The 27,472-nt window shown below is 50.5% G+C and overlaps 1 long non-coding RNA gene across 2 annotated transcripts, besides 1 other annotated feature; it reads left to right on the forward strand.

Moving 5' to 3' along the window:
• Window positions 1–1,246: 1,246 nt before the first annotated feature.
• On the forward strand, window positions 1,247–15,959 carry LOC105376063 (uncharacterized). 2 transcript variants are annotated; one of them, XR_929668.4, is made up of 4 exons: window positions 1,247–11,483; window positions 14,606–14,727; window positions 14,818–15,145; window positions 15,838–15,959. It is a non-coding gene; the product is annotated as an uncharacterized LOC105376063 (long non-coding RNA). The 2 variants fall into 2 exon arrangements; XR_929667.4 differs by lacking the exon at window positions 15,838–15,959 and having other exon boundaries at window positions 14,818–15,309.
• Window positions 10,054–11,053: an enhancer, noted in NCBI's record as "H3K4me1 hESC enhancer chr9:46274928-46275927 (GRCh37/hg19 assembly coordinates)". NCBI's record gives its function as "activates a minimal SCP1, AML or CMV promoter by ChIP-STARR-seq in naive H9 embryonic stem cells {active_cell/tissue: H9 hESC(naive)}" and the evidence as "EXISTENCE:reporter gene assay evidence [ECO:0000049][PMID:30033119]".
• Window positions 15,960–27,472: the final 11,513 nt, after the last annotated feature.

The following is a 27,472-nucleotide window of genomic DNA, read 5'->3' on the forward strand; positions in this document are numbered from 1 at the left end:
CCCATCAGCAGTGGATTGGATAACGAAAATGTGGTAATTATACACCATGGAATACTACATAGCCGTAGAGAAAGAAACCATGTCCCTTGAAGCAACATGGATGCAGCTGGAGTCCATTATCCTAAACAAATTAATGCAGCATCAGGTAACCAAATACCCATGGTCTCACTTATAAGTGGGAGCTAAACATTGAGTACACATGGACACACAGATGGGATCAATAGACACCAGGGTCTGCTTGAGTGGGGAGGATGGCATGAGGCTATGGGTCAAAAAACTATTGGGTACTCTGGTTACTACCTGGGTGACAACATCATTTGTACACCAAACTCCAGTGGCATGCAATTTACCCGTGTAACAAGCCTGCACATGTATCCCTTAAACCTAAAAACAGAAAAAATTAAAAATAAATAAATAAATGAGGTATAAGTCTAATTGTTGAATGTTGTGAATAGTAACCAACAGAGCCATTGAAAATAGTGAGAGTGGCCGGGTCGGTGGCTCACACCTGTAATCCCAACACTTTTGGAGGCCAAGGTGGGTGGATCACAAGATCAGGAGTTTGAGACCAGCCTGGCCAAGATGGCGAAACCCCGCTGCTACTAAAAATACAAAAATTAGCTGGGCATGGTGGCTCATGCCTGTAATCCCAGCTACTCATGAGGCTGAGGCAGCAGAATCACTTGAACCTGGGAGGTGGAGGTTGCAGTGAGCTGAGATTGCACCACTGCACTCTAGCCTGGGTGGCAGAGCAAGACTCTGTCTCAAAAAAAAAAAAAAAAAAAAAGAAGAAGAAAAGAAAAGAAAAAGAAAATAGTGAGAGCACCATATAAGGAAAGTGGTTCAGGCACTGTGGTAAGGGGTGAGTGTCAGCCAAGTCATCAGCTATCAGAACACGAAGCCATCAGGTAATATATCAAGTTGATACATTAAGAAGGAGGGGCCGGGCACGGTGGCTCATGTCTGTAATCCCAGCACTTTGGGAGGCCGAGGCAGGCGGATCACGAGGTCAGGAGATCAAGACCATCCTGGCTAACACGGTGAAACCCCGTCTCTACTAAAAAAAAAAAAAAAAAAATTAGCCAGGCCTGGCGGTGGGTGCCTGTAGTCCCAGCTGCTGGGGAGGCTGAGGCAGCAGAATGGAGTGAACCCGGGAGGTGGAGCTTGCAGTGAGCCAAGATTGTGCCACTGCACTCCAGCCTGAGTGACATAGCAAGACTCTGTCTCAGAAAAACAAACAAACAAAACAGAAGGAGGAGGATCTACCTATTATATAACAGAGATAAGCACTCAGATATATGGATTATAAATAGTTTAGAAAATTTAAATATTTGATTATTCAGAAAGTAGACTTGGGACTATTGGAGAAACAGGGTGGGGAGTAGACTGCATGGAGAGCTCTTTCTTAGTGTGGGATTTTCAATTATGCACATAGGTTTCTTACATAACATGGAAAATTCAATTAAGAAACAACATTGTGTTTTGGGGTCCCAAAAGTTCAGTGATTGATTAGAAGGACTCACAAAACTGAGTCAAGCTGTTATACTCATAGTTATAGTTTATTACAACAAAAGGATACAGATTAAAATCAGCAGCAGAAAAAGGTGCATAGGGCAGAGTCCAGGAGAAACCAAGCACAAGCTTCCAGTTGTCCTCTGCCAGTGGTATCATGTGAACAGTGCTTAATTCACCCAACGATATGTGGCAGAAAGTAGAGAAAATACTCCCCAACAAGAAGCTTACCTGAGTCTTGGGGTTGAGGGTTTTACTGGAGGTTGGTCTCATGGACAAGAGCACCCATTTGGATGACCTTAGTTTCCTGTCTCCACCCTTCCCAAGGTCAAGCTGACACTGCATGGTCCAAGGTCCCCACAATAAATCACATTGTTAACTCCCACATAGGCAGGAGATTCCAAGGACTTAGAGGTTATTTCCCAGGAGCCGGGCTAGAGTCACACCATTCTTTGGAGTATGCCAGGTTTGGGCAATTCAGGCCTACTAAGTTTCCTTGACTGCACCCAAGTGATAGTGAGTATGTAGGAAATGAGTAGTCGCATATATTGCTGGTGAAATTAGTGTTATATAACCCTTTGGAAAGAAATCAAGTGTGTAGTGCATAAACATTATATTTGGTCTGATTTGTTTTTGTCTAAGACAGGGTCTCACTCTGTCACCCATGCTGGAGTGCAGTGGCATGATCACAACTCACTGCAGCCTCGAACACCTGGGCTCCAGCTATCCTCCCACCTCAGTCTCCTGAGTAGCTGAGAGCACAGGCACGTGCCACCACACCCAACTAATTTGTGTGTTTTTTGTACAGACAGGGTTTCACCATGATGCCCATGCTGGTTTCAAACTCCTGGGTTCAAAGAATCCCCTACCTCAGCTCCCCAAAGTGCTAGGATTACAGGAGTGAGCCACTGCACCCAACCTATATTTGTATATACATTAAATTGTATATGTTAGGCCAGGCGCGGTGGCTCACAAGTGTAATTCCAGCACCTTGGGAGGGCAAGGTCAGTGGACCACTTGAGGTCAGGAGTTCGAGAGCAGCCTGGCCAACATGGTGAAAACCCATCTCCACCAAAAAGACAAAGATAGCTGGACTTGGTGGCAGATGCCTGTATTCCCAGCTACTCAGGAGGCTGAGGCAGGAGAATCACTTGAATCCAAGATGTGGAGGTTGCAGTGAGCTGAAATCACACCACTGCATTCCAACCTGGGTGACGGAGCAAAACTCCACCTCAAAAAACAACCAAAAATTTGGGTATGTTATTGTATGTATGTGTATATACACATATTAAATATATATACATATATTACATTTTATACACATACATTTGTTTCCTCACGCTATTTGTTTCAGCAGAAGTAAAAATTAATAAAGGTATAAGTAAAAGAATATTTACAGAAGCACTATTTTTGGTGGCAAAAGTACTTTAGCATTTTATATGCTGATATAATGGAAGATACTTTAACTCTTACAAATAATGAGTTAGCTTTTTATCTACTATAAAGATATCCTAATATCTTTATACCTAAAGTGATATCAATGGCAAATTGTTATATGAAAAAGGAGAATGCTTTATAATTGAAGAAAAAAAGAAAGAAACGTTATATAGTAGCCCTCCCTTATCTGCAGGAGATGTGTTCTAAGACCCGCAGTGGATGCCTGAACCTTGGCTATCCAAGGCTATCCAATGCTATCATTGACCCAATTGCTGTCAATCAGAACACATTTCTGTCTATGATTTCCATGCACAAATTTAATGCCTTTTTCATCTTAACTAAGTACTTATCACACATGTGGCTGTATTTTTAGAGCTTGGGGTGCAACAAACAAGACTAACAGAAATTTCTTTTTCCTTCTTACATTTTCACCGCTAGAGGATTTGTTCTTACCATCGATCCTAGCAACCTGAGCACATGACTTCTTTTTCTTTCTATTTTTTTTTCTTTCTTTCTTTCTTTCTTGGTTGCTTGCTTGCTTGGTTGCTTGCTTGCTTGCTTGCTTTCTTGCTTCCTTTCTCTGTCTTTTTTTCTCTCTTTCTTCCTTTTTTCTTTGTTTCTTTCATCTTTTTTTCTTTCTTTCTTTCTGTTTATTTATTTATTTATTGAGATGGAATCTCACTCTGTCGCCCAGGTGGGAGTGAAGTAATGCGATTTCGGCTCCTTGTAACCTTCATCTCCCAGGTTCAAGTGATTCTCATGCCTCCACCTCCCAAGTAGCTGGGAATACAAGCGTCTGCCACCACGCCCAGATAATTTTTGTGTTTTTTGTAGTGATGGGGATTCACTATGTTGGCCAGGCTAGTCTTGAACTCCTGACCTCAAATGATCCACCCAGTTCAGTCTCCCAAAGTACTGGGATTACTTGCATGAGCCACCGCACCTGAGCTGTATATGCCATTGTATGATTGCAAATAATTATATGAATCTTGGAGAACATCATGGAAAGATGTTCATCATCTTGTTAACTGGTTATTTCAAGAGTGGAACTGGAAGGGGAATACTGCCTTTCCTGTGTATTTGTTTGTAATGTTTCATTTTCATTATGAACATGTATTATTTTAATATGTTTAAATATTAATAAACACAGGCAAAAATATGTAATTTTAATTCAAGCTGAAATCGTCAAGGCAATCATACATAACAGATGGAGCAAATAAAACATTTAAAATCCCTGAATGAAAAGGAGGGGAGGCCGGGCATGGTGGCTCACGCCTACAATCCCAGCACTTTGGGAGGCCGAACCAGGCAGATCACTTTGGGTCAGAAGTTTGAGACTGCCTTGGCCAATTGAGACCCCTTGACTCGATTGGAATTGGTCCCACAAACTTTTTTTTTTTGAGGGAGTCTCGCACTGTCACCCAGGGTGGAGTGCAATGGGGCAATCTCGGCTCACTGCAACCTCTGCTCCTGGGTTCAAGAAATTATCCTGCCTCAGCCTCCCTAGTAGCTCAGACTTCAGGCAATGAAACTAAAGAAAGTCAGGGGATGGCTAAAGGATGGAGGATACCTGGGCTGGGGGAGGAGGGAGAATGCGACGGGTGAACACAGACAGGCTTCCAAAGTGGTGTCCAGGTTGTATTTCTTCACTAGGTGGTGGGCACACAGGCATGCATTTTTCCTTATCTTTAAATTGTACATATTTCATACACTTCTCCATATGTATTATACATTTCAAAATAGTACATCTTTTAAAAAATCACAGTGGTTAATGCAATCAGTACAGGTGCCAGGCACATACCAGAGACTCCAGGTGACGGCATGCTCTCCTCTTGGGCTCCTCATCTAGGGCTGAAAGTTTATTTCTCACCCCTGCCGCCAGCACCCCCCATGCCAGCCCATGTCTCTAAGTGCTGAGGGGAAGGTGTATGAACAGAGACAGATACGGCCGTGGAGGAACCCGGAGGGAGGGCCCTCCACTTGGTGAGGACGGATTGTGAGGCTGGTCAGTGCTGAAGCTGAGTATCTTGCTTACTAGAGCAAAGGGGAACTGTGCTTATAGGACCATCTCTCAGAGCAAAACAAATTAAGTCTCTTGGGAAGCCTGGCATTGAGGATTGTCCAGCTTTCAGAAGTGAGAGTGTTCAGCCTGACTTCAGGGGCACAAGGTTCTTGCTGCCTGGGCCTGTTCTGTAGTGTGGGGCTGTCCCTGACTGGCCAGCTTTCAGAAGCATGCAGCATTGTCATTGACTTATTGGGGTTTCATGCCACCACAGCCAAAAAGCAGTTTGTTTTTGTCCTTGAGTTTGGACTATAGATTGTTATTCTCTCCAGGCAAAGGCAGGAAGCACACGGGAACAGGTAGCGCCAGGTGGCTGCAGGCCGGTGGTCTGGCTGGAGCTCAGTGCAGAAGCACAAGACGGTGGTGAGGAGTGAGGCAGACCCAGGGGACTGAAACACCACTGGAAAGAAGGTTCCACCCAGAGCAGTGGGGGCCACAGAGTGATCCTGAGGGGAGATTTACACAGAGATGCGTTTGAGGAAAAGCAGAGACCAGTGGGAATGCTGGTGCTCTCCGCCAGAGGAGAGGCGACGGTGATCGGGACGAGATAGACACCGAGGCGGTGAAAATGGAGAGGCCATGTGAAGGTGGAAGGGACAGAATTTGGTGACAAGCGTCCAGACTGACGCCCAGGTTTCCACTTGGGGAGACCAGAAGGTGGCAGGGCGAATTCCAATGCCAGGTCTCCGGGGAGAGCACACTCAGGAGGAAGATGAGAGTCCGGGTCCCTGTGGGATGGACGTGGAGCCCTCTAGGGGCATTGAACTCTATAGATCTGCCAGTCAGGGGCAGAGGGGTCCAGGGCAGAGGAGACAGAGATCTGGGCACCACCCACGAAGGCACAGTGGACAGGGGATGGAGCCCTCTGGAGGGAGCCAGCGCAAGGGTGCGAGAAGGAGCTTGCAAAGGAAGCAGAGCGGCAGCCAGGACAAGGGAAGGCACCCGCGAGGAACTTGCCTGCAGACCCCAGGGTTGAGTAGGCTTTAAGGAGGAGTGCATGGGGAGCGCTGGGCCGCTCACAGACTGAACACACAGAGGCTGGCGTGGATGCCTGTGGCCTCTGCCCTTGCAACAACCTCTGTCTTGGGTCAGGTTTCCTGGAAGCAGAGCTGAGATGGAATTCCTGTGGAGGTGATTATGGAGGGGGTGCTCCTAGGAAAGGAGAGTGGGGGTAGAGAGCCGGTGCAGAGAGCTGAGCAAGGCTGTGACTGCTTCAGCCTGGTTGGATGAAGGGGAGTTCAGGAGCACTGCACATCACGGCTGTCCCTGCCTTGAGGCCAGGACCATTTTGTGTCTCCTCTCCCTCCCCTCATCAATCAGGCACTGGGTTGTGGGGGAGGGTGTGACCTTCTGGGTGAGGCAGTTTTCCCACTTGGCCTAGGGCAATGAGCCTCCGCTATCCTCAGGCAGCCACCATTGCCTGAAGACAAGTGAGACCCCATGTGCTTGGGCAAAACCAGCCCCTTCCCAGCTCCCAGCATTCAGGGAGGGTCTTTGAGTAAGACCACCCTAAGCTGCCTCCTCTGCTGGCAAACTCCCTGTCACTGCTTTCCCCACTGTCTGCCACTGTAGACCCCAGGATGAAGCTCATTATGCTGCTTCTCCCTCTGTATGGAAAGTTCGAGTCCCCCCAGGCCACCCCTTGCCCCAGACAGCTCTGTATAACCCCTTCTCAGACCCCTTCCCCCCATCCCCAGTTCCCTCAAACCCTTCCACTCTCGAGCTCCTGACCAGCCATGAGCAACGTCCCCCATATCCTAAACTTTTTGTAAACCAAAAATAAAATTCTGAGGGCCCCCCAGCCATCTGAATGGACCTCCTCCTCTGCCAGGGCACTCTTATAATGTAATCTGAAATACTGGTTCAGGCCATGATGGGAAGTGGGGATCGGACTTGCATGATTATCGCTCCAGCATTAACATCAACACATTTTAGTCTGATAAGAAATATTTTACAGTCTATTCTCTCTGAAGCCTGCCACCTGAAGGCTTCCTCTGCAAATAAGAACTTTGGTTTCCACAATCCTTTATCTTAACCCAAACATTTTCTTTCTATTGATCCCAGGTCTTTAAATCAACTCAACAAATTGTCACCCAGAAAATTTTTAAATCTGCCTATAGCCTGGAAGTCCCCCCTCACCCACCCCCCGCCTTCTAGTTCTCTTGCTTTTCTGAACCAATTTATTTCTTAAATGTATTAGATTGAGGTCTCATGTCTCCCTAAAATGTGTAAAATGAAGTTGCACCCTGACCACCTTGGACATATGTTCTCAGGACCTCCCGGGGGCTGCATCATGGGCCATGATCACTCAGGTTTGGTTCAGAATAACTCTCTTCAAATATTTTACAGAGTTTGACTGTTTTTTGTCAACACTTTGAGCATCCCCTTGACTGTGCTGTAACTGGAGATGGACACCCGCTCGCCCCTCAAGGACCGCATCGCTCTCCAGCACTCCTCCTCTTCTTATAACTTTTGGTGATTTCCGTTTCCAGGGGGTGATCCCTGCAAAACCCTGGCCTGCTCTCCTTTCATGGTCTTGACCTCAAAACTACCCCAGCCCTCCTCTCCCATGGCCACACCCTAGATATTGTGGCCCATAACCATAAAGTCTTCTCTCTCCACGAAGACAATTCCGAGTGGCCAACCAGCAGCGGGAGTATTGCCATCTTGGACAAGCACTGGTCAGCATGACCAAAAACCACAAATAACATCTCAGACCAGAAACATTCCAAACCCCTCCCTCACCAGAGGCATGCCAGCCCCGAGATAACCTCCCCTCCGGCCAGAGATATGTCAGCCCCAAAGCTGCGTTTTGTGTTTCTCTTCTCTTTCTTTAACACTTACACTCCTGATTGTGTCCAGCTGACTTCTGCAGTGCCTCACCTAAACATTCCTTCAATGGCTGGGCTTACACTCCACTGATCCCTCCACATTTTCACTGTGGTCACCCCTCTGTCCTCCCTCCCCCCTCCCAGGTATTATGGTGGGCACCAAACATTCTCAGCAGCATATGCCAGTTCCTCCAAGTCTTCTCTTCATTAGACCAACGTCCCCAGGCCCCCAGTTTTCCCCAACAGGATATGGACCACAGATCAGCCATGTCCTAGCATCTTCACCTGGTGCTTCTGTCCATCTGTCCATGTCTTCTTGTCCCTGGAAAGCATGTTCTCTGAGAGCAGAGATTGTGTTTCCTGCATCTCTGTCTCCTGTTGCCCAGCACAGAATTGGTGCTCAATGAAGATTTGTCCATCCAGATGAAGAATGGATGGGTGGCTGGATGGGTAGGCAGATGGATGATGAGTGGGTAGATGGGTAGGTGGATGGGTGGGGACAGATGGATGGATGGAGATAGATGGATGATGAATGGATGGATGGATGAGTGGGGGGATAGATGGATGGGGATGGATGGATAATGAATGAATTGGTAAGTGGATGGGTGGGTGGATGGATGGATGGGTGGATGAGTGGGTGGATGGATGGATAATGAATGCATTGGTAGGTGGATGGGTGGATGGATGGATGGGTAGATGGGGTGGATAGATGGATGGGTAGATGGGGTGAATGGATGGATGGGTAAGTGGATGGATGGATGGGAATAGATGATGAATGGATGAGTGGGTGGATGGGTAGATGGATGGGGATGGATTGATAATGAATGAATTGAAAGGTGGGTGGGTGGGTGGATGGATGGATGGGTGGATGGATGGATGGGTAGGTGGATGGGTAGATGGGGATAGATGGATGATGAATGGATGAGTGGGTGGGTGGATGGATGGGGAGGGATTGATAATAAATGAATTGATAGGTGGATGAGTGGGTGGATGGATGGATGGATGGGGATGGATGGATAATGTAAGAATTGGTAGGTGAATGGATGGATGGGGTAGATGGATAATGAATGGATTGGTAGGTGGATGGATAATGAATGGATTGGTAGGTAGATACATGGATGGATGGACAGGAATGAATGGATAATGAATGGATTGGTAGGTGGATAGATGGATGAGTGGATAGATGGATCGATAATGATTGATGGATGGATGGATGGGGATGGATGGATAGATAAATGGATTGGTAGGTGAATGGACAAATGGATGGATGGATGAGTGGGTAGCTGGATGGGGAATTAGTGGGTAGGTGGGAGAATGGATGATGGATGGATGGATGGATGGATGGATGGATAAATGGAGGGATGCATGATGAACTTCTCCCTTGTTCCCAGCCTAGTCCTAGAATATGTTGCCTCTTCTCAAAAATAAGGTACCACAAAGCCTCTGGTGACGGTGGAGCAAAGGAATAGATGGTGAATGTCTCATACCCACTTCGGATCCAGAACAGGCCTAGGAGAGACTCAGGTGGGATCTGCTGCTGAGGAAGGGGGTTGGGGCTGAAGTTGGAGGAGGAGGGCAGCTCTAAACCACCTGTTCCTGGCTCTAGGCCTCTCAGGCCAGACAGCCCCCACCCGTTTCTGCAGATGCCCGCATCATGGTCCTGAGGGGATGGGGGCTGGCCTGGAGCCTTTCCCCCGTGGTGTGTGGCTATAGCGGGGACATGAAGGGGGTGTGTTGGGGACGTAGTGACCACTCCCTTCTACCGTCAGAGATCCTGCTTCCCCCTGCCCCCTGCCCCTCCTCGGCTGCCCTTCATAACCCCCCACCCACTCCCCACCTGCCATCTCCTGTGCTTGTGCGGATCCAGGAAGCACCTACCTGGGCACAGAGATCATCGCTCGGTGCCTCGCCCCTACACAAGGGCGATTAACTTCTCTGTTATGAACTCCTACTTAGTAATTCTGACATGAAACTCCCACTAGGATAAAACTTGGCGCAGAACAGCAATTACTGAAAACACATTTTTAAAAAGGTTGATGTTTTGTAAGAGTTCATCCTCCTCCACTCCTCAGCCTCCCTCAAGGAGACACATATTTAGATCTTCTCTGTGTGAGTCTAACTTGGAGACTGTGAGTTGCAGTTTAAAAGGGGCTCTGGGGCCAGGTGCGGTGGCACACACTTGTGGTCTCAGCTACTCAAGAGGCTGAGATGTGAGGAACGCTTGAGCCCAGGAGTTCAAGACCAGCCTGAGCAACATAGGGAGATGGGATCTACCCAAAACATTTAACAATAAGGCTGGCATGGTGGCATATGCCTGTGGTCCCAGCTACTTGGAGGCTGAGGCAGGAGAATCATTTAAGCCTGGGAGATCGAGGCTGCAGTGAGGTATGGTTTCAACTGCTGTGCTCCAGCCTGGGAGACAGGGCAATACTGTGTCTCTAAAAAATAAAAAATAAAAATAAAAAAATAAAGGGCTCTGAGCCCAGCCCTCTGGCCAGGGCCTGGTGCAGTGGCAGAGGCTTGGGTCCCTGCCAGGTCTCCTGAAACGTCTCCAGGGTCTGCTGGGGCAGCCACCTGGGTGCTCAGTTGCTCTGTTAAACAGCAAAATTCCCAAGTCCTCATCTCAATGAGCCACTGAGGCCGATGAAGAGGGCCTGTCTCATTTAGGACATGAGTGGCCAGGCGGGTGCCACAGGCCCTTTTCCTGGTGACAACAAAGCCATTGCATGGCTCCAGGAAGGCCACATCATTTCCCGGGCTTCGTAGGCACCTGCGGGGCGGAAACAGTTCAGCAGGGCCCTCCTGATCACAAGGAAGAGGTCATACCGGCTGCTGCACGGCAGGGCTGCACTCTGCCAGGGAGCGTCCTGTGAGGGAGGGGCTGCACTGCCACTTTACTGATGAGGAAATTAAGGTTCAGAGAGATGAGGTCATTTGTTAGAGGCCAGACAGCCTCCTCAGCCCATTTCTAAGGTTGTTTCTGTGGTATTTGCCATAAAGCCATAGGTTCATTGATTTGTTCTTAAGTAGTTCTGAGCCCTTCCTGCATATCAGGCAGGGACAAACAGGAAAGTCCCTGCCTTTGGCAAGTGCGGGGGAAATGAAATGATTCTGCTCAGCCTCATCCATTGGTCTGAACAATCACGTCTCATGACCGCAGGGACACGGCTTCCCCTGAACGCGGATCCTAGAGGCCAGGCAGAAGCAGCATGGGTTTCCACTCACACGGTAGGCGGCTGTGCAATTTCGTCTGGAGTCCGCAGACCCCTCCTCATCCTTCCCAGGGTTGCTCTGAGGCCATTCCTCGTCATCTAGGAGGGGTCTACATAAAAGCATTTATAAACACCTCCAAATGGGAGCCAGGCGTGCCCACCTTTGGAGCACTTTTCTCTACTGCAAATTTATCTACTGCTCGTGAAATCTCTGGATTTAACTCTGATGAAAGACTGGAGGCTGAAGGAGAACTTCAATATCATATATTTTAAAGGTTGATTCACAGTTTGGAGCAAGAATTAAAGAACCACGAACTTCAAGGTAAAACGGGCAACGGCGTTGGGGCAAGCCTCTCTGCATCTGCGTGTCCAGCCTCTCCTGCATGCCAGAAGTCCCCAGGCAGGAGTGTGGTGGGACATCCGGCTGGGGTAAGGACAGACACCCTCCCACTGTGTCAGGGCCCAGAGAGTGGGTGGAGAAGCTCTGCAAGAGACCTGTGCAAGGGCGCCTTGCAGGAGCCTGCAGTCCCCACAGGTGTGTTTGTGGATAACACTTGGGGAGCCCTGGCCTTTTGGGGTCACAGAGGGCTTGGCCTCTCACCTCAGAGCTGCAGAGAAGCCGCTTCTACATCAGGACATCAGAAGCTGGAACAGGATGGCCGGCGAGGGGCCTCTTGTTGGGGTCACAGAGATGGGTCGCAGAGATGGCCCGTGTGGAAGGTTGGATTCTCACCCCACCTCTGCCCCTAGATGTCCTGGTGACCCTCCCCTCTGTAGTCTTGGTTTTTTGCAAAACAGTTATGACCTCCTGCCATACTGGGTACTTTGCTTATGTATTGTGTTTACTCTTTACTGTGTGTCTCTCCTGCTAAGGTCTACGAAGAAGGGTCTTTGTGGGTGGGGTTCTTAGAGGCATCCCAAGTACCAGAAGCAGTCCCTGGACTAAGGGGCTCAATAAATATTTTTTATTTATTATTTTTTCTTTTTGAGATGGAGTCTCGCTCTCTTGACCAGGCTGGAGTACAGTGGCACAATCTTGGCTCACTGCAGCCTTCGCCTCCTGGGTTCAAGTGATTTCTGGCTAATTTTTGTATTTTTAGTAGTGACGGGGTATCACCATGTTGGCCAGGCTGGTCACAAACTCCTGACCTCAAGTGATCCACCCGCCTCAGCCTCCCAACATGCTGGGATTATAGACATGAGCCACCATGCCTGGCCAAATATTTGTCAAATTGAATTTGTATTTCCATACAAATTTTAGTCTGGATAAAGTGCTTCATGCCTGTAATCCAAGCACTTTGAGAGGCTGAGGCGGGTGGATGGCTTGAGCCCAGGAGTTTGAGACCAGCATGGAAAACATAGAGAAACCCCATCTCAATATAAGAAGAAGAAGAAAAAGAAAAAAAAAATCAAAAACGAAAACAACACAAATTTTAGAGTAAGTATTTTAAGTTCCACAAAAACCTGGTTAGGATTTGGATAGCAATTTCTTTAGTTCTACAAATCAATTTGGAAAAAATTAATTAATTTGGGAAGAATTCATTTTGAGTCTTCTAATCCATGAACATGGTATCTCCATTTGTTTAGACCATCTTTAATGCCTACTAATAACATTTCTGTATAGTGACCTTGCACATTATTCTTAGATTCTTGATATTTTGTGCTATTATGTCTTTTTATAAATTTTATTTTTCCAACATTGTTGCTAATATATAGTAAGAAAATGGAATCTTGCCTATAGATTTTGAACCCAACAACTTTGCTAAACTCCTCTGAATCCTCAGAATTTCCCTGTGGATTATGTAGGCTCTTCTGCATACACAACCATATCATCTGTGAATAAAGACAGTTTTGTTTTCTTCTTCACAAACTTTACCCGACTCACTGTGCAGTCTGCCACATCCAGGCTGATATTGAATAGCAGTGGCACTAATAGGATTCTTTGCCCCCTTGCCAATCTTGTAAAGAAAGCTTTCAACATTTTCCTGTTAGCTCTGTTGGCAGCTCTGACTTTTTCCATAGATGGCCTTCATCAGCTTAACAATGGGTCTTTTCTTCCCAGAGGGCTGAGCTTTTCCTTAAGAACAGACAGTGAGTGTCATCAAACACTAGGCTGCATCTGTTGAGATGGTCATACGACTTGTGTCTTTTCCTGTGTTTGTGTGTGAACTCTCTGGGTGTCTGAGGGTTCTTGTGACTTTCACAGAAGAACACAATTTACCCTCCGGTGTGGGAAGGGGAAGGAGGCAGAGGAAGAAAGACCCCAAGTCCCCCTCATCCCCACTGACCTTCCTGCTGGCTTCGTCCTTGATCTGTGCCTCCTTAGATCCTGCGTTTGAGTACTTGCGGTCATGATGACAGGGCCAACCTCCTGACCAGGGCTGTTAGCACCTCCCCTGCTGCCCAGAGTCCCTGCTCCAAACCACTTTCTTCATCTTCCGTACCCCCAGCCAATATTTCCCTGCCCAGTGTCAACCCAGGCCCAGAACCAGACCACAAGGGACAGCCCCGGAACCCAGAATCAGACAAATCAGCCCGTCCCAAGCTGTCTCCCCTGCTCTGCCCGGCTTTCACAGGGAAGCCAACACAGGCTGTGGCTTGGCCTTTCCCTAGCTCCTTTCTGCCTCCTGGTCTGCCTGCGGCTTCCCCCTGCCGCCCTGCGGGGCCTGCCACGTCTCTCATTTCTAGCGAATGTTTCAAGAGCGATGTTAGACTTTCCTTTCAATAGCGTTGACCTCTGTTAGGCACCTTTATGGATTAAGACCTGGGCATAGATGGGTTCTTCGGCATCACGACCTGAAGGTGCTTGGGAGAGACGGTGAGGAGGAGAATGCACCCTGCCATGCTCTGCACCGCACATGGATGCGGATTTCACCATGTTGGCCAGGCTGGTCTGAAACACACAGAGCCCAAGCGCCCGGTGGACTCTCTGACGGTCCTCGGGCGTGTGCCTTTGTAAGCAGAGTATTCAGCTCTCATCAGGGCCTCGCCAGAGCAGAAATGGTCTGTTGATAAATGCATCGTATACAATTATAAATGTGCACCCAGCATTGCTGCTTCCTCTTTTTTTTTTGATATAGGGACTTGCTCTGTCGCCCAGGCTGCAGTGCAGTAGGGCAGTCACAGCTCACTGCGGCCTCAACCTCCCAGGCTCAAGCAATCCTTCCGCCTCAGCCTCCTAAGTAGCTGGAACTACACATCCAGCTTTTTTTTTTTTTTTTTTTTGTAGACACAGGATCTCACCATGTTGGCCAGGCTGGTCTTAAACTCCTGGGCTCAAGTGATCCGCCCACCTTGGGCTCCCAAAGTACTGGCATTACAGGTGGGAGCCACTATGCCTGGCCTGCTTCCTTTTGCAAACAGGAATCTTGTAAATAGAATTGATCAGAACTTGTTGTTTAACGTACACAGACCTCTAGCTGTACTGCAAAGCTGTGTGCACATGTGTTAAGTCATCTGTTCTATGTGTTCTAATTATAAATAAGAAAAAACAAATTTCAATCAACCATGCTGGAGGAAGAGCAATTATGTTTCTATTCCTTCTATCATAGGTGATGTAAAATTCTCAAACAATGAGATAGATAAAAAGTACGCAGCCAAAAAGTTCAAGAAGAAGTGTTATGGAGATGGAGCAGGCCCTTCGTAAAAACACGATGTTGGTTTTCTGGATTTTGTATGTTTGCTTTTTTTTTTCCTCATCCTAAAGAAATATTCACTGTCATACCTAATTTTGTTTTTGTAAGTTTGTATTCTTTCTTTATAGGGAGGCCTCACAAAACCCGGATCAGACTCGCCCACTGCCCTGTGTCTGCCCTCCCGACCGCCTCTCCTGCCCAGCAGGGATGAGGGTGGCAGTGGTGCTGTGTGGAGGGTGGCGGGAGGACCTGGAAGACTGCGACCAGTGAGCCGGGAGGCCTTGGGACAGCCTCTCTCTGAATCATCCTGTGCACTGCCGGGTGTGACAGAGGCTCCTAGAATCCTGTCTCAAGTGGCCGCCTTCACAGAGGGAGTCACTGACGTCCCTGCTCAGCGCAGCCCTGGCATGTGGGGGTCCCTCTACTCATGAGAAACCCCCACCCAATCACCGTGAGGTGTGTGACCCATGCTCACATCCAGGGGCCACTCATTCATTCAGGAAACATTGGCCGAGCCCTCAGCAGGGGGCGGTGCTGGATGCCGGGATGTAGAGAGTGGGGTGGGACAAGGACTTGGTTGTGAGACGTCCCAGTCCGGGGAAGGACTAAGAGAAGGTGACATGGACAGTCTAGACTACCAGTCATTGGTTCTCCACTGGGGGCAGTATTGGCAATGTTTAGGTATAAATTGGTTGTCACAATGAATGCTACCAACGTCTAGTGGGTGGAGGCCGGGGGTGCGGCTCAGCATCCTACCAGGTGTCGGACGGCCCCCACCACCGAGTGCCAGCCCCGAGGGCAGCCCAGGGTGCCCCAGTGGTGAGGAGCCCCGGTGTGGAGTGCAGGGTTCGTTTGGACCACGGCTGTAGAGGCCTAGGGGAGCTCCCGCCATCAGGATGGCCGGGCATCAGGGCTCTGTGAGGGGGAAGGGGGCATCAGTGCAGCGGCAGGCAGGGGTTCGACGGGCTGAGTCCTGCGACGTGTTGCATCCACACCAGTGTCTGGGGCCAGCACCACCGCTCAGTCTCTGAACCCACTTATTTCGCCCAATATTGCTTGAGTGGGAAGTTCCACCTTCCCCAGTCGGCTGCTTATCTCGTCTTTCCAATGCAGTTAGGAAGGGAAAATATTTTCTCCCCATTTTACAGATGAAGAAATGGGGCCTGGCGAGGAGCAAAGCCCAGAACTGCTGCCCACCACCCTCCCTGCCTGGTGCTTTCCTGGGAACATGTGGGAGCCCCTGCCTGGACCTTGGGACCTCCCATCTGTAATTGCAGGCCCCGGTCTGCCTGTGTGGATTTGGAATGTGTCACTCGGGATCCTGGAGTCCTCCTGAGCTTGTCCAGCAGGGCTGCATTCACTGATGTGCTGACAGAGGCCTAGGCTCGGACCTCTAGGAATATCCAAAGCATCTCATTACGCAGAAAACCACCCTCATGAGGTCCTGGGGGCCTCTCTCCATCTTCCTGGGGGTGATGCAATAGAGTGTAACTTCCACGCTGCCGAGACAGGCCATGAGGGGTTGCCCCCGTTGGAGGGGCAGAGTGGTATTTGTGGGGTGGTAGGAATCATTCAATGCCCAGCTGCAACCCCCCGGGCTCACAGCACACTCTTAAGGCCAGTGCTACCAGCTCCCTTGGGTGGATAGAGGAGCTACGGCTCAGAAGCATGCCCACAGCTCCCCCAGGACCCTGAGGCCAGCCTGTGGCAGGGCCTGTGATTTGAACCCCTCTACAAGGCTTCAAATCAGTGCTGTTTGTCCTGGCCTCATAAAACCTGGCTGCCCAGTTGGGATTGGTGTCATCTGCCTTGCTGAACTGGGCACTCCTTGGGAAGAGGGTGGGTGCTGCGAGAAGGCGGTGGATCCTGGCTGTGCAACCTTCGCAGGTGGCTGAACCTCTCTGTGTCTCAGTTTGCTCATCTGCAAAGGGGGCTGGGATTCCTGCCTACATGCATGTGCTCAAGAGGGAAAGCCAGCCAGGCATGGTGGCTCATGCCTGTAATCCCAGCACTTTGGGAGGCTGAGGTGGGCAGATCACTTGAGGTCAGGAGTTCAAGACCAGCCTGGCCTAAATGGCAAAACCCCATCTCTACTAAAAAAAAAAATAAAAATAAAAAAATAGCTGGACGTGGTGGCGGGTGCCTGTAATCCCAGCTACTGGGGAGGCTGAGGCAGGAGAATCACTTGAATCCGGGAGGCAAAGGTTGCAGTGAGCTGAGATCCCACCATTGCACTCCAGCCTGGGTGACAAGAGTGAAACTCCACCTCAAAATAAATAAATAAATAAATAAATAAAGTAAAAGAGGGAATGCTGAGAGCTGGGCGTGGCCTGTGGCTCTGTAGCTACGCAGGAGGCTGAGTCAGGAGGATTGCTTTAGGCCAGAGATTCCAGGCTGCAGTGAGCTATGATCATGCCTGTGAACAGCCGCTATATTCTAGCCTGGGAAACACAGTGAGACCCTGTCTCTGAAAAAATAAAATATTTAAAAAAGAGTGAATGGTAGGTCAGGGTCTTCTGTAGTGGGGTGGGTCTGGGCAGGGGTGGAGGCCCAGCCAGAGTCACTGGGGTCAGGGAGGGACTGGTGACAAGAATGCACAGCCCTGACCAGGGAAGCACCCAGGGAGCTTTCCCCGTGAAGGGGGGACCTGGCCTCGCCCTGGCCTCACCCCAGCTGTGAGTTGGAACCAGCATGGAGGGAAGCCAGGCCCGGTGCACTCTGCCCAGGGGGATGTAGTTTGGCCAGTGGGGGCTGCCATCAGAGGCTGTCCTTACTGTGGGATCGCTGTGGATGCTTTCCCTTCTGAAGCCTGGAACCTTGGGTCCCCATGCCCTCCAGCTCTGTGTCTCCTTTGTGGGCATCAGGAAGACACATTCCCTGGCCTCCTTTGCAGTGGCTGGCTGTGGAAGGAGGTGCCTGGGGTCAGGTGGGTGTAGGTGGGTACGTGGCATCACGAGGACATATTTTTGTAGAGGGAATTACATTCTTTCTTCCAATTTTTTATTATAAAAGTTTTCCAATTGAAACCACCCACACCCCAAGCCTGGGGCCGGCCTCCCATCACTGCCTTCTCAGCCCTGGGGGAGGCCTCCTTCTTTCTGCATGGCCTCTGGGCCCATCTGAGCATTCCTCTTCCCTGATGGGAGAAACGCCTGGTGGGGGAGAAGTGGAAGTGGGTGTCCAGGCAAGTCTCAAATCCCAATGGCTGACCCGGAATCCCCTCTGCACACCTCTCCTCCTGGTGCCCGGAGGGGGTGCCCACTCTGCTGCCAGGGATTTCCTGAGTAGCTGCTCCGACCACAGCCAGGGAAGAGTCCTTGCAGGAACTCTGCGGGCTGGGCCTGCCCTCCCCAGCCTTGGCATCTTCTTGTTGGTGTCTGAGTTTGAGTCTGTTCTGTGGGCTCTGTGGGAGGTGGGCCCAGCTTCTCACCATGCAGGACCCCTCACCCAGAGCCTGAAACCCGCTTTGACTAACATGCCTCTGGGTTCCTTCACTGGCCCTGCCCAGTCGCATCCCATGGGAAGAAGGACTGGCTGCTCGGGGTTCTCAGACCCTAGCCTGGGAAAACCAGTCTGAGGACAGGGATAACCCTTGGCCCTGCCTCTGATTGGGCCCTGAGTTAGGTGGGGTTCTTCCCTGCTGGGGGTCCTGGAGGCATGGGAGGGTTTTGGGGTTCTGTGTGAAAGAGGCCTCAGTCCCTTCAGTTCTCACAGATCCCCCAAGGCTGTGTGTCTGATCCATTGCTTTACATAAGAGAGGAATTGGAGCCAGGCAAAGCCCAGGATTAAAATGGGTGGTGGAGGGGGGAAGCTGTGATTTGAATGTGTCCCTCTAAAAACACGTGTTGGAAACTCAGTCCTCAATGCAACAGTGTTGGGAGGTAGGGCCTAAGGGGAGGTGTTTAGGATGATCCATGGATGATCCATGCAGGTAACAAAAGGCCTCGAGGCTGGGTATGTGTTCTCTCACTCTCTCACACTCTCTTGCCATGTGATGCCTTCTGCCATGTGATGACACAGCAGGAAGGCCCTCACCAGATGCGGCCCCTGAAACTTGGACTTCCCAGCCTCCAGAATCATGAGCCGAATCATCTTCTATTTTTTATTTTTTATTTTTTTTGAGACAGAGTCTTGCCCCGTCGCCCAGGCTGGAGTGCAGTGGCATGATCTCTACTCACTGCAAGCTCTGCCTCCCTGGTTCATGCCATTCTCCTGCCTCAGCCTCCCAAAGAGCTGGGATTACAAGTGCCCGCCACCACAACTGGCTAATTTTTGTGTTTTTAGTAGAGACGGGATTTCACCATGTTGGCCAGGCTGGTCTCGAACTCCTGACCTCAAGTGCTCCACCCACCTTGGCCTCCCAAAGTGCTGGGATTACAGGCATGAGCCACCACACCCAGCCTTTTTTGTCTTCTTATAAGGAGGTAAGTTGTATTGAATCAGGGCCCACTCCAATCAGGTGTGACTGCGTCTTCACTTGATTATATCTGCAAAGGCCCTATTTCCAAAAAGGTTGCATTCATAGGTACCAGGGGTTGAGGCTTTAACATATCTTTTAAAATTTTTATTATTTTTTTGAGACAGAGTCTTGCTCTGTCGCGCAGGCTGGAGTGCAGTGGCGCGATCTCGGCTCACTGCAACCTCCACCTCCTGGGTTCAAGAAATTCTCTTGCCTCAGCCCTCCGAGTAGCTACAATTACAGGCGCCCCCACCCACCCCACCATGCCCGGCTAATTTTTGTATTTTTATTAGAGCTAGGGTTTCACCATGTTGGCCAGGCTGGTCTCAAACTCCTGATCTCAAGTGATCCACTTACCTCAGTTTCCCAAAGTGTAACATACCTTTTTGGGGGACAGAATTCTACCCACAAATTCTAGATAAGGAGGCATTGCTTCTTTTTTCTTCTGGTATTGAATGTCACTTTGGAGATGTCTGATGTCAAGTTGGTTTTCTTTGCTTTATAAGATACTTGGTCTTTCTGTCTGGCTGCCTAAAGGATTATTTCTTTATCTTTAAAGTCCAGTGATTTTACAAAGGCATGTTTTGTGTTGACTGTTCTGGGCCAACACACACAAGTATACAGCATGCACTTTCACAGGCAGGCGCAAGTCTGCCTGCATTTCAATAAAGAGGTCTTGAATGATAGTTTCAATCCTTGTTCAGCAGGTGCTGTGGTGCACACCTGTGGTCCCAGCTACTCAGGAGGCCAGAAGTTCAAGCCCAGCCTGGGCAACGCTAGCTTATATGAGATCACCTCTCACATAAATCAAGCAGTCAATACTTGTTCCGATCTGTTAGAGTTTTGCCTATCATATATGTACACTGGAGCCCCTTTACTGTTTTTTCTTTTTTTTTTTTTCTTTTTTTTTTTTTTTTTTGAGACAGAGTCTCGCTCTGTTGCCAGGCTGGAGTGTAATAGCACAATCTCAGCTCACTGCAACCTCTGCCTCCTGGGTTCAAGGGATAGTCCTGCCTCAGCCTACCGAGTAGCTGGGATTACAGGCACACATCACCATGCCCGGCTAATTTTTGTATTTTTAGTAGAGACGGGGTTTCACCATCTTGGCAAGGCTGGTCTTGAACTCCTGACCTTGTGATCCAACTGTCTTGCCTCCCAAAGAGCTGGGATTACAGGCGGGAGCAACCGCGCCCGGCCCTTTACTGGTCTTTTATAGTCACTTTCTCTCTAATCCTTTTTAATCTCTTTCCTCTTTCTTTCTATTTGCTCACTTTTTCCTTTTTTTATGTGATTTCCGTGGTGTCTGTGCTCTCGTATTACCTGTAACTTCATTTCTTCATTTCTGAAATGGTTTTCTCTTTTTCTTCAGTTTCCTTCCTGAATTCTGTCATTTCCCACCACAGACTCCGCTGCCGTTTGGCCACCTCTTCCCTGTGTTCTTATTCTGTGCTTATTCTCCTCTGTTCTTATTCTGTGCTGTAGTATCCCTTCGGAGCTGAAGTTCTTGTTGGAATATTAGATCATGATTTTCATCTGGTTTGTGGCAGTATTTGTCTGATGAGATTTCTTCATTTGTAGGAAAATAGCACTGCTTTTATTTTTTATTTTTATTTTTTAAGACTGCAGCTTGCTCTGTGACCCAGGCTGGAGTGCGGTTGCACAATCGTAACTCACTAGAGCCTTGACCTACAGCCTGCACTCGAGCGATTCTGCTCTGCCTCTGGAGCAGTTGGGGACTACAGGTGTGTGCCACCATGCCTGCCTGGGTTTCTTTTTTTATTTTTTTGAGAGAGGGTCTCCCTCTGTCACCCAGGCTGGAGTGCAGTGGCGCAATCTCAGCTCACTGCAATTTCTACCTCCTGGGCTCAAGCGATTCTCCCATCTCAGCCTTCTGAATAGCTGGGACTACAGGTGCACACTATTGTGCCTGGGAATTTCTTCATTTTTTTTTTTTTTTGTAGAGACAAGGTTTCACAATGTTGTCCAGGCTGGTCTCGAACTGCTGGGCTCAAGTGATCTGCCCACCTCGGTCTCCCAAAGTATTGGGACTATAGGCGTAAGCCACCATGCCTGGCCTTTTTTTTTTTTTTAAGTTAGGCACTTAGGTCTCCTTATGTTGGCCAGGCTGATCTTAAACTCCTGGCCTCACTCAATCCTCCCGCCTCTGTCTTTCCCACAAAGTGCTGGTGTTACTGGAAAAGGGGGAGCTCTGATCCAGACCCCAAGAGAGGTCTCTTTGATCTCACGCGAGAAAGAATTTGGAGCGAGTTCACAGAGTAAAGTGAGAGCAAGTTTATCAGGAAAGTAAAGGGATGAAGAGGAACTGAGGTCTCCTCCCCTCCCTTTTGAGACCTTATAAGGTAACCTCCAGACATTGCCATGGCATCTGTAAACTGTCATGGTGCTGGTGGGGGTGTCTTTTAGCAGCAAATGCATTCTAATTGGCATATAATGATCCGTGAGGACAATCAGAGGTCACTCTCGTGGCCGCCTTGGTTTTGGTGGGCTTTGGCCGGCTTCTTTACTGCAACCTGCTTTATCAGCAAGGTCTTCATGACCTGTATCTTGTGCCGACCTCCTATCTCATCCTGTGACTTAGAATGCCTAAACTCCTGGGAATGCAGCCCGGCAGGTCTCAGCCTCATTTTACCCAGCTCCTGTTCAAGATGGAGTTGCTCTGGTTCCAACGCCTCTGGCATTGGGATTTCAGGCGTGAGCCACTGTGCCTGGCCAGCATTGCTTTTGGAAGTGGAGAGCATGCCCATTTTTGTTACTCGTTTATTTGAATAGGATGGCTGTTCCGGCCAGGAGGTGCTGGGCCACGGCTCCTGGGAGGACCATGTGCTGCCCTGTTGGATACCTCAGCACCACTGGCTCCTGTTGGCAGCTGAGCCGGCCCACCTTGAGGTCCTGTGCATGGGTTACAGCTGGTGGTGTGTGGGTGCACAGTGATGGCGGGCCTCTGAGAGCTGGGGCAGGCCAGTGCGGCCTGACTCTGCCTGTAGGAAGCTCTAGAACAGGTCATGCTGATCTGCAATGAAAAGTCGCCTCTGGAGGGGGTGCAGTGGGGACTGATGAGCACATATCTCGGGGGTGGTCAGGTTCTTATCTTGGTGGAGTCTGCCTTTGTCAACTCCCTGAGTGACACCCTTGAGATCTGTATAGCTTGCTGGGTTGAACTGTGACCCCCAAATTCATATGTTGAAGTCTTGACCCCTGTATCTCAGAATATGCCAGGGCAGAGTCAGCAAAAAGAGGAAAGTCTCCAGCCGGTTCCCCAGCTCTGAGCCTGTACCTGCCTTGGGGCCAGGAGAGGCTGAGGTGTGGGAGAAATGCGTATTTGGGTTCCTCTGCCAGAGCATGGTCCTCCGTGGAGTCGGCCTCCTGCAGAGGGGAGCAGCAGGTGCTGTTGCATGCTACCGTCTCCCCTAAGCCTCTCAGGGTCTCCTTAGGAACAGGGTGCATGTTCCCTCCCAGATGCAGCTCACCCCTACCTCTGCCCCCCACATCTCCCTCCCCCCGCCCCAGGCAGCCCCCAAGACTTTCCTTGCCCTGAACTCCCATCTGCCTCCCCGGTCTGTCCTCTGTCCCTGGCTGCTCGGGTCAGCCTGGCCTCCGGTTCTCTCCCTTTCTGTCCCTTTTGCACCCTGGCTCCCTCTCTAGGCTGCGGTGCAGTGAGGACGCTGCCCAGGGCTGGAGGCTGGTGGGAGGTTGGGTGTGATGTAAGGCTGTGTTGCTGGCTGTTCTGGGGATGCTGACAACATTAGCGTGGCTCATGTTTATCGTGGGTCTAGCTCCTCTTGTACAGACATGGTCCTCTTCCCTTCCTCCGTGGAAGCAGAACCCTGATGCGTGGCGGGGCATGTAGCTGGCCGGAATGAAAACCTGCATCTCCCAGCTTCCTCCCTGACGCTAAGTGGAGCTGAGCTGCTAAGTCGTGGCCAGTGGGTTAAAGGCAGAAGTGCTGTAGAAGACTTCCAGGAAGATGGCTAAAAACAAGCTGACTCAGCTGGGACTTCTGGGAGGGGCTCTTTTCTGCCCTGTACTTTTCCAGCTTCCTTCCACCTGTCCTGTGGTCTTGATGGCTGGAGCACCAGCAGCCACCTTGGACCATGGAGTGGCTTTGAGGCTAGACACCATGCGTGGAGGATGAGGAGCAGAACAGCCAGGATCTGGGTCCCTGAGGACATCGAGGAGCTGCCACCTCACCCTCAATCAGTCATCCCCAGATTCTCCCTTCAGAAAGAAATCAGCTTCTTTCTTGTTTATGCTTCTTTTGCTGGGATTGTCATATGCAGCGAAACCAAACTGTGGAGTCCCGATCAGCTGATAGAAATGAGGAAGGGGTTCCCTCCTCTGCACAACTCCATGGCACCACAGGCCCTAGCTGGCAAGAACATGAACTAGGGTGGGGGAGAGCCATTGTTCTAAGAAATGGATAACCACAAGCAGCCCACTTGCACAATCTCCTGTTACCAAATACCTAGCTCTGCACGTTAGCTCCAGCAGCATGACCCTGTCTGCATGGGGCCTCTCCAGCGTGACCCTGTCTGCATGGGGCCTCTCCAGCGTGACCCTGTCTGCCTGTTGCCTCTCCAGCGTGACCCTGTCTGCATGTGGCCTCTCCAGCATGACCCTGTTTGCATGCCGCCTCTCCAGTGTGACCGTTTCCACATGTAGCCTCTCCAGCATGACCCTGTCTGCATGTGGCCTCTCCAGCGTGACTCTGTTTGCATGTGGCCTCTCCAGCATGACCCTGTCTGCATGTCGCCTCTCCAGTGTGACCCTATCAAACTTCCCCCTGGCCTCTGCCCCTGGGGAGGTGGCCTTCTCTCTGCCATGCTGCCTGCTGTTCTCTTGCAAGGTGTCTTCAGACTTTCTTTACCCATGACTGTCTCGGTAAATTCTTTTACCACCCGTGACACCAGCCCCAGCCAGTTGCACCTGCAACACTGGCTGCAGTGGATTCCTTGTTGCTGATACTCCACATAACCTTGCTAGGTGTCATATATGATCATTCTTTAACAGAGGGGCAAGCTGAGGCTCAGAGAGGTTAAGGCACTTGCTCAAGGTCACACAGCGGAGAGGTTGTGGGTAAGCCAGGCTGCTGGCTTAGAACACTGCCATGGCATTTCTCAGATCACCTCGCTCAGGGACTCCTGGCAGTTCCCCCTGCGTCATAGCGGTGAGTCTGTCCAGGACGAGCCACTCCAGGCTACCGAGGGCCAGCTGGAGGGCCTGCAGACACCTGCTGTGGAGTCAAGGTCCACACCATCAGCTGGAAGAGAGGTCTCAGGAGGGGCATTAGTGTTTGTCCTCGCTGTGATTGCACTGACTGACAAATCAGCTGTGGGACAATGGAAAACACAGCAGCAGCTTGTTACTGAGAAGGGAGGACTCAGGGTGGACCTGACCCCTCTGCAGATGGCTTGGTGAGAACGTGGCCTGCCCTGTTGGCTCCTCCCTCTGGGTATTGGAATTGCTGGGCAGCCAGAGGCTTACCTGGGCTTACTGGCACCCAGGGAGGAGAAGCCCTGAGCTGTGCGGCTGCTGAGGAAGGCTGTCTGCAGGGGAGAGCCCGAGCGCTGAAGGAGGCCAGTGGGCTCAGCCTGATGTCTCCATTCTCCTTCCTACAGCAACCAGGGTGCTTTGGAAAGGGTCAATTGCCCCCCCTTACCAGGTAGGGATGCAGGAGGGAGAGCGAGCCATTCCTCTAACGTCAGTGACCATGTCTTGGTTCCAAAGCCCCTTAAGCCTTGGGTTGTCTATCAGCAAAAAGAGAAGGGATGTGCTCAGGGGGTCTTCGTGGAGATCCTCTGCTCCCCTTGCCTTGAATGTGGAGAGGGCCCAAGACTCCCTAGGGAAGGCAGGTGATACAGACTCCAGGTGTGCCCTGCTCTCTCCTCAGCACCACTCTGCAGCACCACAGGCAGTCTGGGGTGCAGATAACATCTCTCTGGGCACAGCTTCGCACCAGGGCATGCTGGGGGTAGAGCCACACTTGCATGGCCTGTGGATCCCTGCAGCCTGGGGATTGGGCTGCTATTCCCACTGCAGGGAGGGAGGTGGTCGGAGGTAGGGGCTGCTCCTACCTAGGTACTTCTGGCCTCACCAGAAGAAGGGGGAGGGTTTGCACATTGAGTGGCACCTGCTCCATCTTTGTCCCTGTATTTACATCATTATTCTGAAGGCCAAGAGATTGGACCTGCCGGAGCTCCATGCACAGACCCTGGGCAGGTGCATGTGGGCTTCTGGCTTCCTGGTGTGCACAGCCCCTTCTCTCCCTTCTGGACTGTGGCAGTGTACTAGGGACATTGTAGCCACTGTGTAAAGTCTCCCGCTTTCTGGGACAGTTTTATTCACTCATGTGTGTTGAGAGCCCGTTTTGTGCTGGGGTCCCTGGGGAGAACGCTGGGTTCACTCATAGTTCCACAACAAGGGACCTGTGGCCTTTGTTGTGGACAGGGGCCAAGAGCACGTAGAGAAGGCACTGAATGCTCCTTGGCTTCCAGGGGAAAGATCAGGACTGGAAGGATGTGGGAACTGCCCAAAGCTACAGGATCTGCTGTCTCAATGGCTGAGCAGGGTGCAGAGTGCATGCAGCTGTTTGTTCTGTGGCACTGGTAACCTTGGCACTTCTCCAGGTGTGAAGGACAGCATGGGAGTGAGCCTGTGAAGTTATAGGCAGAGTCCAGGCAGCCCCAAGCCTTGGTGGGTTGTAGCTGTCAGAGTGGCAGCAGGTGGACAGAGGGGATGGGCTCGGGGGGAGGCGGGGGGACCCGCTTGAGTGGGAGTCAGCCTGGGGGCATCTCAATCCCTCTGATGCCTGGTTTGGGTCCCCAGCACTACTTAGCCCACCCCACTGAGCCTGTCTGTGCCTGGCCTGGCACTGGTGATGCAGGGACTGAGTCAGGCAGGGCCTGACCCAGAGAGCCCATGGGCAGACAGTCTTGGTGCTGCATGCCCGGGCTTAAACCAGCAAGCCTGATTCTGAATGTCCACAAGCTCTTGGCTGGTGGGGCCACAGGACTGGGACCCAAGCCTCCTAGTGACATGGCTGAGGCCATCTGTCATGGGTCCTTCTCTCAGGCCACCTGGTTCCCTGTGACTCACTTGGTGTTGACCAGGTGCATGGATGCAGAGCTGAGCAGACAGTCCCTGTGTCCCCAGTCTGGTTGGGGGTGCAGGGGTCTGGAGCCCATGTGAGCCTGGTGAGAGCCTGGGAAGGAACCACTTTTTCCATGGCAGAGCTGAGTGCAAAGCACGCTGTTGCACTGCTCTGGTGGTGGCATTTTACTCTGTAACCTATTCATCCACATACTCATGTATTTCTCCACCCACCCATTCATCTACTTATCCACCCATTCACCCATCCATCCACTTATCCATCCACCCATCTACACATCCATCCATCCACCCACCCACCCATCCACCCACCCACCCATCCACCCGCCCATCCATATATACACCCACCCATCCATCCATACACCCACCCATCCATCACTTATTTGTTCATCTATCCATCCATTCCCCCATCTCTCCATCCACCTACTCACCCATCCATCCACCATCCATCCATCCATTCATGCATCCATCCACTCATCCATCCATCCATGCATCCATCCATCCATCCATCCATTCACCCACCCACCCATCCACCTATTGACCCATCCATCCACCCATCCATCTACCCATACTTCCACCTATCCACATACCTGCCCATGCACCCACTCATCCATCCACCCACCCACTCACCTATCCACCCATCCACCCATCCATGCATCCATCCATCAATCCACCCACCCACCCATCCATGCATCCATCCATCCATCCACCCACCCACCCGCCTCGTCCCTCCGTCTGAAGGTCTTTACAGAACAGCTGTGAAGCTGAGATGCTGGGGACCCAGTGGTTACTCAGGACAGTCATGGACACTGCCATCTAGGCTGTGCTTCCTGGCAGGCAGGGGCAGCAAACAGGACCCTTTGCAGATAGTGGTGTCTGCTGTAAAGGAGAGAAAACAGTGAGAGTAAAAGAGTTGAAGAGTTACTGGGGTCTCCTGGGACTCTTTTCCATTCTGAGTCCTGAGCCCACTGAGAAGTAAGGCATGAAGGCAGGTGCTGGAAAAACAAAACCCTTCTATCAATGCCAACCCCTCCATCAGGTTGTAAACCAAAGGGTATCTGAGACAGGTCTCGATAAATTTAAAACACTTATTTTGCCAAGGTGAAGTAAGGGCGTGTGACACAGCCTCAGGAGGTTTTGACGACATGTGCCCAATGTGGTCAGGGTACAGTTTGCTTTTATTTTTATTTTATTTTATT

This window comes from Homo sapiens, chromosome 9 (genome assembly GCF_000001405.40).
Source record: "Homo sapiens chromosome 9, GRCh38.p14 Primary Assembly".
Lineage (NCBI taxonomy): Eukaryota > Metazoa > Chordata > Mammalia > Primates > Hominidae > Homo > Homo sapiens.